Below are 12,892 nucleotides of genomic sequence, written 5' to 3'. Positions count from 1 at the left end.
GCTGGAGGTCCATGGGTACCACTCTCCACTAGGTTATTCTGCCCAGGCCCTGGCTGCAGAGGGCTATGCCTTGTGGCTGCCTCATGATCTGCCTATGTGCTGGGCTAGAGTGCTACTGTTAATTGCAGCTATTTCCAGACCACAGTGAAGCTTTCTTTTCTTTTCCTTGCTTTGTTTTGCAGCAGGTGGTTCTCATTATTGTGCAGTGAGGTGGTGGCAGCAGACATACTGGCAAGTGCAATGTGATTTACAAACCACGTGTCTCATGCCTAGGGGTTGTGGGCAAACTCTACCAGTCATGCAGTCTGGAATTTTCTCTGGTTAACCTTCAGTCTCCTGGGATTCAGCCTAGTGATGGGGAAAGGGATGGACTTTGAAATCAAAACCAGTATGGAGCTCCAGCTCTGATTTATCAGCAGCCTAACCTTGCACAAGTTAGTAATTCTTTCTGTAATTCAGTTTCCTCATCTATTAAGTTTTTCAGTTTCCTCATCTATTTTGGGCTGCTTTAATAGAGTACCACAGACTAGGTGATTTATAATGAACAGAAATTTATTGGCTCAGAGTTCTGGAGGTTGAGAAGCCCAAGATCAAGAGGTGGTATCTGGCAAGGACCTTCTTGATGTATCATCATGGCAGAAAGTAGAATGGCAAGAGAGAGTGAGAGAGAGACAAAAGGGGGGCAAACTCATTATTTTTTAAAGATCCCACTTCTGTAATAATGGTATTAATCCATTCGTAACCATACAGCCCTTGTGGTCTAATCACTTCTTATCAGGCTCCACCTCTCAACACTGTTGCCTTGAGGATTATGTTTCCAACACACGGTTTTTGGGGGACATATGTAAACCAGAGCAGTGGACTACTACTCTTCAGTTTATAAGTCTGTTGGCGGGGAGTGATATGATGACATACACAGGCACCTACTACAGTCTAGCACTTTTATTCAATGTTGGTTTTTCTTCCCTTCTGGTTTTAGGAATTCAAAAATTCAACAGTAGAGACAGCTCTCGAGAGACCATTGTGTATACTCAATAGTTGTGTACCCCTCACCTACTATGGGTCAGCACTTGTGTCTCCTGCTCTCTGGTTCTCACCAGAGACTATGAGAGAGAGATTATCATCTTGGTATGAAGGAAGATGGGGCTCAGAGAGGTGTGGCAATATCCCCAAAGTCACATTGCTAATAATGATGGAGCTGGGAATCTCATTTCCAGCCTCCTCTCTCTAAACTCACCCCCTCAGCCCCTTTCCCACCCAACCCACAACCCTGTTTCATGACGAAAGAAAAGGGCAGGATGAGAGTGTCTGGGTTTCTCTGCCGCAGGCAAGTTGTGGATCCCACACCTAATATCATGGGGGAGCTGGAGAGGATCTTGGGCCACAGAGAGGGGTACTCATAGGAAAAGGCCTAGGTGGGGCCACATTGGGCACTTTAGCCAGACATCCTTCCCAAGGCAGAATGATTGGCTGAGCTATTTGCCAGAGGAGGTAACAGTCAGGGAACAGCCTGGTAAATGAAATGGGAAAAATTGACAAATAAAATGACCAGATGGGAAAAGCTTGATCAGGAGGTAAAAGCACTGTATCCTTCTCCTGCCAGTCCCCTGAGCCCTCTTGCTTAGCCTAGTTAGATATCCAATTGTTTCCCTCCATCCAGGCCCCACTTGATCACCCAGAGCAAATTGTGATTATCAAAACTTTCAGCCGCCTACTGCTGATTCACCCTTCTCTCCTGCATCAGCAGAACTGGAGGAAATGCACTCCCCAGAGAATCCTGCCTCCGGCTCCGCTCCTGGAGGTGCTGGTGACGATGTCATGCCTGATATTTAAAGCACAGGTCCTGAAAACTCCACTTTCACATTCTATATATAGTGCCCTTTGTCCAATTTCCACTACGTGCACATCTTATACAACATACCCCTTAGACATAGTGCAATGGCCTGAGATCTAATTTTTTGGGGTGCTGGGCCCCCAAGATAACTTCTTTTTGGATAGAGAAATAGGGCTAATCTTCACAAACAGGAGATTAGAGCAGGTAGCACTTTCAACAATGTGGAGGTTTTCATGGGGGCACACACATATCGATATGATCTATTTGCTAGTGATTGCTTCTCCAGTTTGTTTATCATGACAGGTGTCCATGCACTGTAAATAGTGTGCATCCATTATACTTATCCAACGTTTTACATTTTTTACTTTACATATGTGAATATACAAACACTTTACAGATAGGAATATACAAACATATAAATAGTTTGCATATATGCATCCATCTGTTTCTTTAGAGATTATTATCCCCATTTCCCAATAAGGAAACTGAGACACAGGGCAATAGCTGTATAGCTGGTTCCCAGTGAGGCTAGGACAAAAGCATGATGACTGGTCCTCAATCATTTCTTCACTCAACCAATATCTACTGAGTGTCTGCTGCGTAGCAAATGGGAAGCTAAGTACTGGGGGTACAACAGTGGACAGAACACTGAAAAATAACAAAACAAAACAAAACCTTTTCTAGAATAGATTTGGGTGAGACGGAAAATGAACACAATAAATAAGTAAACAGCATATTATGTTGGAAGGGGAGGAGGAGGGGCCGGCGAGTGGGAAGTCGGGGGTCACTAGTCTCAGTGAATATGAGCACAGAGACTGAGGCCTTGGAGGAGGGGATACTGCTATGCATTTTTCCACTTTGCATTTCCAACCCGAACCACAAGTTGTGCATGGGAACACTGTCGGAGAAGATGAATGCGTCATGTGTCAGAAGCCGAGAATTCCTGGGCTTGCCCCATCCAGCAGCCGGGGTCACCTTGCCGGAGGGTGGCTTCTGAACGGTAGAAGAACAGAGGCTGAAGCTGAGTCCAGGCATCGTTGTTCCTCGTCGGGGACCTGCTTCTAGGACTCAGGAAACAAAGGGATGCCTGTGTCACCAGAAGAAAATCATAATGAGAACTGGGAATGCAAGCAGTGGGGCTGAAGTTTTAATTAGTGCAGGGGAATATCAGAAGCGCTGCCCATTTCATGATGAGAGCAGCCTGGCCAGGATGTGCGTCCCAGCCTCACTTGTGGACCCGATTCCTTGAGTGAAGGAAGTCTGGCTGTGCAGCCTGCCCGCTTTTTACTTCCTCTCACCTCCTGGCTGTCTGGTCCTTCTCTTTCCCTTGACACACACGTGCTCAGATTTACAACCTCCTCTTGGTGCCCTTGGGCCCATCAGTCCACACTGTGGTTTAACCCTTCTTCTTCTTTCTGCCTCCAGTTCCCTTTCAACATCCCCCAACCTTTCTTCCTGCTCTCTTTTTTTATGCTGGGGCCAGGCCCACAGCCTGTCATCCATTTATCAATGCATTGGAACTGTAACTCAGGTATTGATCTGTGTTTGTTGGTTTTTTTCCTGTAAACTCGGGCTGTAAAGGTTTCATTAGCTTGCCTCACAGTCATTACGTCAAGTAATAGGAAACATCCATCTTCCTCGGGCTTCACTTCTGCACCCAATGGAGATCGGTTTGAAGAGCATTAATCAAGCTCTGAAAATCATTGGCAGCTCATTCCTTTATGATGAAAAAGCTGGTTTGCAGCCTCACTGGGTAGCAGAGGCCTGACACCTTAGATACCTACAGCAATTACGGGCTGTGTGGTTTCCTGCTTAGGGAGTCTATTCTTTGTCTAATGTCTGTATGCAAATCTCATTATTTGCTTTAATGTGATTCCCTGAGTGGTGTGCAGTAAGAACGAGGCATAGATAAGGCTGGGCTTCTCTGCAGAACTGTGGGTGAAAAGGAGGGTTGTCGGTTACTTCCATGGATCCCTGCCAAGGCCAGACCTGCACAGAGGTGGGAAAGATTTACCAACATGGTGTGATGCATGCAGGTGAGAGCTTGAGTATCACCCATTCGCCTACCTCTTCCTTCCACCCAGGATGCCCTCCACCCACCCTTCCAGACAGAAGCAAATCAGCTACTTAGTTGGGGTAACAAAATACCTAACTATACACAACACTTTTACATATATCAAGTGTTCAGGGGCCAGAGCAAATCCCTGGGGCCATAAGCACTAGAACAAGTAAAACTGGAGACTGGGAGTGCGAAAATCAGAAAAGAACATGGAAGGCCATGTGCTGGGGAGGTGGGGTAGGGCAGAGCTGCAAGTGGCCTTGGACCATAGGTCTCAGTGCACAGCCCCCGAACCAGCAGCAGCAGCACCACCTGGGAACTTGTGAGAAGCCCCCGACCTTGGGCCCCATTACAGACGTCCTGAATCAGAGAGTCTGGAGTGCGATGCATGGTCTGTGCTTTAAGAGGCCTTCCAGATTATTCTGGTCCACTACCCTAAGCATAAAGGAGTCATATGACAGCATCAGGTAAGAAAAAGGAAAAACAAGGATGTTGAAAGGACAAATGTGAACATGGAAAACACAAAATGTGCCTCGGACTGGTCCTATGAACACCAAAATGAGGACAAGTGATGTTCCGGGCTGCCTCACCGAGAGAAGAGGTTGGTTCTGGCAGAAGAAGGAAAATGCCATCCAGTGATTAGTGCCAGGCCCTAGAGCAGCAGTGCATAGGCCCCGAGACTGGTATTGCCTTGTACCAGTTATGCATGATGGGGGAAATTATGCCCTCTGCCTATGATTTATCATCTACAACAGGGAATGATGATAATAATAATACTTCCTTGAGAAGGTTCTTTAAAAAATTACAAGACTTAACACATGGAAAGAAGCCTTTAAACAGTGTCAGGCACAGAGTAAGTGCTGAATAAATGACAGCTATGGGTATCATTTCACACAGCTGCATAGAACCACATAAAAGACAAGGGAGTAGCAAACAGAATCGATTAGCTGACCAAAATATAGTCAGATGAGTATGTACATTAGGTTATATTAGCGAAGCAGAAGAGAGTTCATAATGCCCAAAATGAATCAAAGAAGCAAATGCACCAAGAAATAGATTGTTATTGAATCACAGGTTCATTTATTTATTCACTCATTCAGCAAACATTGAGTAACACTCCAGGGGTGCACTGTGCACCTTGGGCAGTGCAGAGATGCTGAGAAGCAGGAGTCTAGTGAGACCCTAGGGTCATAAAGACATCAAGAAATGACACTAAGCAGAGAGGTAGCTTCAGGTTAGGCCCAGAGATTGATGGGGATACCAGGAGGGGCATCTGAGGCAAACCGGGTGGCTTGGCTTCCTGGAGGAGGTGCCAGGGGGGCACAGCAGGTACACAGGGCAACATGAACAAAAGATACCGAACTGAGAAATGGTAGCATGAAAGCAAAACAGACTGGGCTGTGGCCAGATGGTCACAAGGGAGCTGGAGCTGCAGAAGCGTTGTGGCGGGTCTTACGGGCCAAATTCACGAGCTTGAACATTATCCTCCAAATGGCGGGGAGGAATTAGGAGATTTAAGAAGAAGAGTGATGCGTTCATGCTTCAGCTCTCTTTCTCTGAGCCATGAGGAGGCTGGGTTTGAAAAGAGTGAGGCCAGGAGGAGGGAAATCAGCTAGAAGCTCTAGTTCAGGGCTCACCGTCTCTCGCTGGGGTTCCATTGCCTTCTGTCTTACACAGAAAGTGGCATTTCATCTGGGACTCGAAGGATGTGAATGGATCGGCCTCAAGGTGGCCAGAACAAAGGGCAACTGGGAGAGGGGCTGGCAGGCTGAGTTTCTAGGACAGGAATGTGCTCAGGAACATAAAGAAGTGAAGTGTGGTCCTGGGGAGAAGGTTGGAGCATGAGGAGGAGAGGCAGCCTGGGCGAATGCTGGTAAGGAGCCTGGATTTTATTCCAAGCATAATGCAAAGCCAAAAGAGGGCTGCAAGAGATAAAAGGTACGAAGCTAGTGCAGTTCCTCAAAAATGTGCTGGCTGGACTCTGGTTATTGGAGGCAGGGTGAGAAAGAACAGAAATAGGGACGCCGACTGGGAGGATGTTGCAGGAGCCCAGGTCATGGTGGAGGTGACTGTGGCCAGGCTGGTAACAGCTCTGATTCTGGGTAGGGCTGGGAAACGTGGGTGGTAGTTTAGAGACGTATATCTAATCCCACAATGCTGTGAGGTAAGTATTAGAAATCCCGTTTGCCAGATGAGAAAACTGAGGTCCAAAGAATTTCAGAAACTTATTCCTACTCTCAAAGCTTCCAAACCAGCTTCCCTCCAGATAACAATTCCCACAATATCTTCCCTACAGCCCTGAAAGGAGCATTTGTTTGGTAGGAGGGGCTGGACAGAGATGACCAAGGAAATAGGGGTAAATGTCTGTGTAAAAAGAGCCAAAAATAATCTAAACCTCCTTCTTAACCATCCGTACCTAACACATTGATCTTCTCTCTGCAAATGTATTTCCTGTATTCTTCCCTTTCTGACTTAAGCTTTATTGTTTATTACCGAAGTCTTTGAAATACCTTGAAGAGCAGAGAAAAAAGCTTCTCCCCTCAGGCTGTCAGAGGGGGAGCCCAAAGCAACGCACAGCAGAAAGAAAGTTTTGGGAAGTTACCTGTTTTATCTGAAAGATTTATATGAATGTTGTACTCTGCTCACAATGCAACTCTGCTTATTTCAATGTTTAAAACTATGTTTTAAATTGCAGCCAGGTATCACAGGATTAAACAGAAGGTTTACCTTCCCGAATCATGCATGGTAATATAATGAGTACTTTGTATTGCCGCTTACTGTGTACCAGGCACTAGTCTGAGTGTGTCAGATGCATTGCTTCACTGTGAACGTGGGTCTCGTTATGTCATTTGCAGTTGAGGAATTGAGGGCTCAGAAAAGGAAGTGACTTGCCTGAGGACACTGCCTGTGCAGACTCAGGACTCGAATCCAGTTATGTCTGTCCCAGCACCTGTGCATGTGGCCATATTCCTCAGGTATGGTAGCCCAGGGTATTACAGAAAGCTTGGCTCTAAATGTATCTGAAAGTTCATGCACGAAGATATGATTTCTCATGGTTCAGGTGGATTAGCTACAGAGCAAGCTCAGGCTTTTAGTTTTGGGGGCTCTGTAGAAAGAGGACGACAAAGGCTGACAGGAAGAAGTTCATGTGATTCTGGTAGCTGGCAGCTCAGCTGTCCTGTCCGTGTGCCCAACATAGGCACTGGTGGCACGTGCTCAGGATGACAATAGCAACTGGGCTTTCTGGGCACAGGGATCATCCACTCACAATGGGACCTAGCTCAGGGCTAAAGAATGAAGCCCGTTTCAGCCCTTGCTGGAGGAGGTTGGTAAGAAAGAGTAGGTGCAAAGCCCAGATAAACAGATCCTGGTTCTAAAATGAACACTAGCTCTGAATGTAAAAACCAGGAAATCCACCCTCCAGATTGAACACCGTGTAGGAATTGTTGGGAAGAGGGAGAGGAGGCTGAAATTTGGTGGGTATCTGGAGTTGCTGGTCTATCCCAAGCTCATCATTGCAGTTTCTTCTCCACCACCCAATGGGCCTGAGCTTGCCATTCCACTGCTGTTTCTAGCCAAGAGGTAGGGAGGGAGGAATACACTCAGATTAGGAAGCGTGAGTGGCTATAGCTAAGGGATGCTAAGAAAGACAATGATTGACATTACATAATAACTCTACTGTTTTAGGCCGGGCCCGGTAGCTCACACCTGTAATCCCAGCACTTTGGGAGGCTGAGGCGGGCGGATCACCTGAAGTCAGGAGTTCAAGACCAGCCTGGCCAACATGGCGAAACCCTGTTTCTACTAAAAATACAAAAATTAGCCGGCATGGTGGTGGGTGCCTGTAATCCCAGCACTTTGGGAGGCTGAGGCAGGCAGATCACCTGAGGTCAGGAGTTCAAGGCCAGCCTGGCCGACATGGTGAAACCCTGTTTCTACTAAACATACAAAAATTAGCCGGCATGGTGGCAGGCGCCTGTAATCCCAGCTACTCGGAAGGCTGAGGCAGGAGAATCGCTTGAACCCGGGAGGCAGAGGTTGCAGTGAGCCGGGATCGCACCATTGCACTCTGCACTCCGCACTCCAGCCTGGGTGACAGAGTGAGACTCTGTCTCAAAATAACAATAATAATAATAAAATCTCTCCCGTTTTATAGCAGAGGAGGGGTATGTGCAGCCTCTTTTTTAACCCATCCAGGGTTAAAACCCCTGTTCCATGGACCAGCCCTCCTGCAATTCTACCTTAAATTACAGTGTGCTCCTGTTGTAATTCAATGACTGTTTATATTTCTAATGAAGAAAACCAGCTTCAGACAAGTCTTCAAACAACAGCCTTCACATGTAAAACATTGTTTTAAGATGAAAAGAATTATGCCAAAAATCCTAAGGCAATTGGCAACCTTCTTCCTTTTCTCCCAGAATTCTAAAACATCTTCATGCAGGTATAATAGGGACTGACACAGGATAGAGGGGCCCATATCTGAGGGTCTCCCTTCTCCTGACAGGCCTCTTGACATTTTGTCATGTCTTATTCCCTGCTGTCCTCCAAGCCAGTTGAAAACAAAGCTAGGGCCATTTTCACTCAGTAAGTAACAAGGGGCCAAGATTCAGGCAAAGAGAGGAATGAGTTCATTTGCAACCTCAGGGCTGAAAACAGAGTCTCCTTGTAAATCCAAAACAAATCAAGAGACAGGAGGCAAAGACTGAGAGTAGATTGTCAATAACCATCCTGGGAAAAGATTAATCTGGAGCTTGGGGTAACTAATGTGAGTGTTGAGATAATTCAGGACATGTTCAATATGTTAAAAGGCCGTCACTACCCTGAGACACGGAACACCTGGCTCTAGAAGGGATGGAGGAAGCATTAAAGGGAGGAGAAATTTCTAGTAAATCACGTAATGACTGCTATTTGTTAATTAACATTTATTAAGTTCATCTCCAATGCCAGCCACTGTGCTAAGTGTTCTTTTGTATATATTTCAAGTGATGTAATACCTCAAAAGCATTGTGAGGCAGGAATTATTTCTGTTTTACAGATGAGGAAAGTAAGACTCAGAAAATAAGTGAATTGCCCAAGATCACACAACTCAGATGTGCTGAAATTGGGACTTCAACTCGGATATGTGTAACTATGAATCTCTTAACCATTATATTTTATTGTTCCTTTTTACTGCTTTTAATAACTTTACTATTGTTGTCTTGAGTTGATAGCTAAACCTTAGATTACTCCAAATTTTGCATATGAATAGCTTGGGTTTTCTATCTAGTTATGAGTCACGTTAGGAAGAGACAGTTTTATGCTTTTTAAATATCCCAAGTGAAAAAAATGCCCTAGATGTAATAATTTGCTTTTCCACAGTATGTTACAATCTTCGAAACATTTCTGCATATGTATATTTTCTCACTCCATCCCTGTGAGAGGAATAGGCTATTATTATCCCTAATTTATAGGTGAGCGCAAAGAGGCATAAGGAGTTTTACAATGTGCCTCAGTTAGCAAATGGAAGAAAAAGACCTGACTTTTGTTCATTTTACTTCTAGGCCAACGTCCTTTTGTGTCAGGTACTGCTAATTGCCTCCCCAAAACCTGGTTCTTCTTGCTAACAGGCAGAATTTTGCCCCATATTTATTTAGGAGTCAGAGGGGATCTTTTGATCTTAGGAAACATAGCTCAGCCCATTAATCCTATTTTAGGCAATAAGATGGAAATAGGAAGGGTTTTCCTCCCTGAGAGAAGAATACTCTGTGCCATGCTTCCTAACTGGAATGCAGGACATGATTTCTGGCACTGCTGCAGCCATTTTATGACCATGAAAAGGTCACTAGCATTGCAGACATACTGACCTTGAGCCCTGACATTATTAAGCTGCTAAATCTACATAAGCCACTACCAACCAGCACATCTTTGTTATAATAAAACATAAAATGAACCTCTGTTACCTGTCACTGAAAGATTTCCTGCTGATTTAACTTTGTACTGCACCAATGAAATAGCACTCTGTTGATGTGAGTTTGGAAGAAGGTGATCTACAAATATACTTTGTACAGCATGGTCAGTCAATGAAAGCCCTACATGAATGCAAGTGTCATTATTATTGTTACTATGTTATATTAAACACTCTTTGATATGATTTTATATTTGCATTTAGATTTCTGGAACTCAACTCCCCACAATGGAGAGTGAATGTCCTTGACTGAGAGTAAAGGCAGCTCTGATCAATTGTCACCGAGCCAAGTGCTAGGCCTGTGCTTTGAACTGTTATGAAATCATACCAAAGGCCAGTCTTTCTCTGCCTCAGTTTTGCTTTCTGTACACTAGCATAACAACTTTCATTCTCTCTGCTCGGAGTATAGAGTCAACAGGAAATAGAGATGGGAGAGAAAAGTAAGGGAACAGCAAGAAAGGATTTCAACACTTTCAAAATTGATTATTATGCTTGGGCATTGCGTTTGGCATTGTACTGGAGCAGGCTCACTAACCGACAGCTTTGCAAGGTAAGTATTGTCCTCTCTGAACACTGAGGGACACGCCTGGGGCATGATGGGGAAACTGAGATGTCTTGATGAATCCCACGCCCACCAAGAATTTGAGGTGCATTATTTGGGTCCTCTACCCTTCCCTGCCACCCGCAAGAGCTGCAGAATATAAAAGCAGTGTGAGGAGGACCTCTCTGAGGCGAGGGTGCTAGCTCACAAAAAACAGTCAATGGAATTGATTTCCTGGATGGAACAAATGGGGGTCTTTGAATCCTTACAGTGACAGTGTATTGAATTACAGGCATAAGAGGAACTTTGGGGGAAAATGAGCTCAGCCCCTCAGTTCTGTACAGTCAACAGTTACATCAAAACCAGAATCTCCCTTTCTCTCTTCTAAAGACAACAACGTTTGATCAGAGGAAGCTACAAAATTTGCAGGCACAAGCAGGGAAAGGATTGTTCAAAGTGCAGGGAGAAGAAAAAGAATTTAGAAAAAACAAGATGAATGTGGAACCACCTTCCAGAGCCCTTGCAATAAAGGAAGTAGTTCAATTAGGAGCTCCACACCCAGCCTTCCACACTCACTCCTCTCAGATACTACGTGGCTTTGAATCAATCCCTGGACCATTGAAAGAATTGCGTTTAAACCTTCCTCAGAGACTAGTACAGATTTGATATATAGATGAAGAAAGCATGGCCCCGTCCTCAAAGTGCTCAGTGTCTACTATGGGCAAACCCTTTAATATCCAATGTGACAAGCATGGCATTGCCTCAATGATTTGTAGCTGGAGGCTCTGACCTTTGCTTACTCCTTTATTAGTAAGGTCTTTGTAACAGACTGAGATATCGTTTCATTTGGATGAGAGATAGAAACATGAAGTTCTTCAAATAGGGCATACTATCACTGAAATTTAGGTAAGGCATAGAAAAGCATAGAAAGCATTGAATGCTTGCCTATTGCATAGTAAGAAGGTGATTGGTTTTCAAAAGTTCAGGCTCTGGAACCAGAGTGACTGGGTTGAATCCTGCCTCTTCCACTTACTAGCTATATGGCCATAGTCAAGTGCTCTGTGCACCTTAATTTTTTTATCTGTAAAATGGGATAATAATTGAACCTATCAAAGTGTCATAGACAGGACTAAATGAGTTAACACACGTAACGTTCTTAAAATATGCCTGGCACATAGTAAGTGCTCAGTGAATTTTAGCCATTAATACAAACTGCTCTTACCTGGCAAATAGTTGCAGTAGTAGTAGGAGTAAGCTGGAGTTGAAAAAGCAGACACAGATGCAACTGGTAGGTGATTCATTATCCGTCTGGAAGACCCAGAAAGTGAGAAGTGTCACAAGCTCCAGAAGCACTGTTTTGTCAAGGGAAATGTCTACGATTTGATGAAGCTTGAAAAATTCGTAAATGCCTGATGCTACTCAAATTTACTCCTGGCTATGGCAGCAGATCACTGTGCTTCCAACAAACTCAACAACAACAACAACAGAGAGGTGAAAAGGAAAAAGAAAAGGAAACCATTACGGAGCCACAATTTACTGAATCTTTTCAATCACAAAATTAAGGTGAATTTGGGATAGGGACAAGTATTCTGATGTAATCTGAAATGACTTTTCTGTTTGATATAAAGCCATAGGGAATGCACGGGGACAGTTTAAAGCACCAGCAAGGTGAGTGAGCTGCATTAAAATGGAAATGAAAAATAACCCAGAAAATGCTATTTATTGTAAAAACTGCCGGCATGCTTAGAGCTGCTTTGATCATCTTTGCCTCAAAGAAAGCAGAGCCAACAAAGTGAAGTTTCAGAAAAGGGCAGCGAAATGATCAGAGACATAATGGGTGAAAGGAGGTCTTTATCCAGAGAAGGAAAGAAACAATTGCAGAAAAATTCTTTGGCTTAATAGAGATCTATTGGATAATGAATGGCGAGGAGCGGCCATTCAGGTGCTGCCCTCTCCCCCGTCCCAAATCACAAGAATGAGAAGGAATTTGAAAGGACTGAAAATAGATAAATGGACATCATATGTTTAAAGCCTCAACTGGGGAAACTGGCAGCCTTGGGTCATTTTTGAAGCAAACAATAGAGAGCCTTTCTAAGAAGATCAAACGTTCTGTGCTTGCCCAATTGCAGCTCATCCTCCAGGGGTGTTTGCTGAAAAACAGAGGGGCAACGCTGTGCTAGACCCTCTGGAACACACAGAGCCCTCCCCCATGCTGTCCACAGGGGCAGTCTGTTGAGACGGAGGCAGAGAGGGGAAAAAAAAAAGACTAAATTTATTACCCCTTAAGGATTTAGAAAATGCAATAGGGTAGGACTAGAAAGAAACTTTCGGATTTTAGTTGATGTGAGGCAAATTTTCCTACCCTCCATTCCCCCCACCCCATTCCTGAAGAAAGAAAGAATTCCCTCTTGGCCTTGGGCAGTCAGAGGTGATCCAGGACCAGTGACGCCATCCTCCCCACAGAGTGTGTTAAAAATGTAGACTCTCAGCCCATCCCAGATCCCAGAATCTGCA

At 44.6% G+C, this 12,892-nt stretch overlaps 1 long non-coding RNA gene across 1 annotated transcript; it reads right to left on the bottom strand.

Moving 5' to 3' along the window:
• Positions 1-534: 534 nt before the first annotated feature.
• Positions 535-11,791, bottom strand: LOC124902794 (uncharacterized). The gene is made up of 2 exons (XR_007062956.1): positions 11,601-11,791; positions 535-2,921 (listed from the first exon to the last, which is right to left on the bottom strand). It is a non-coding gene; the product is annotated as an uncharacterized LOC124902794 (long non-coding RNA).
• Between the last annotated feature and the right edge of the window lie 1,101 nt (positions 11,792-12,892).

The sequence above is a fragment of the Homo sapiens genome, chromosome 11 (genome assembly GCF_000001405.40).
Source record: "Homo sapiens chromosome 11, GRCh38.p14 Primary Assembly".
Classification (NCBI taxonomy): Eukaryota; Metazoa; Chordata; class Mammalia; order Primates; family Hominidae; genus Homo; species Homo sapiens.
Note: the sequence above shows the minus strand (reverse complement) of the source record. Positions and strands in the feature narration are given on the sequence as shown.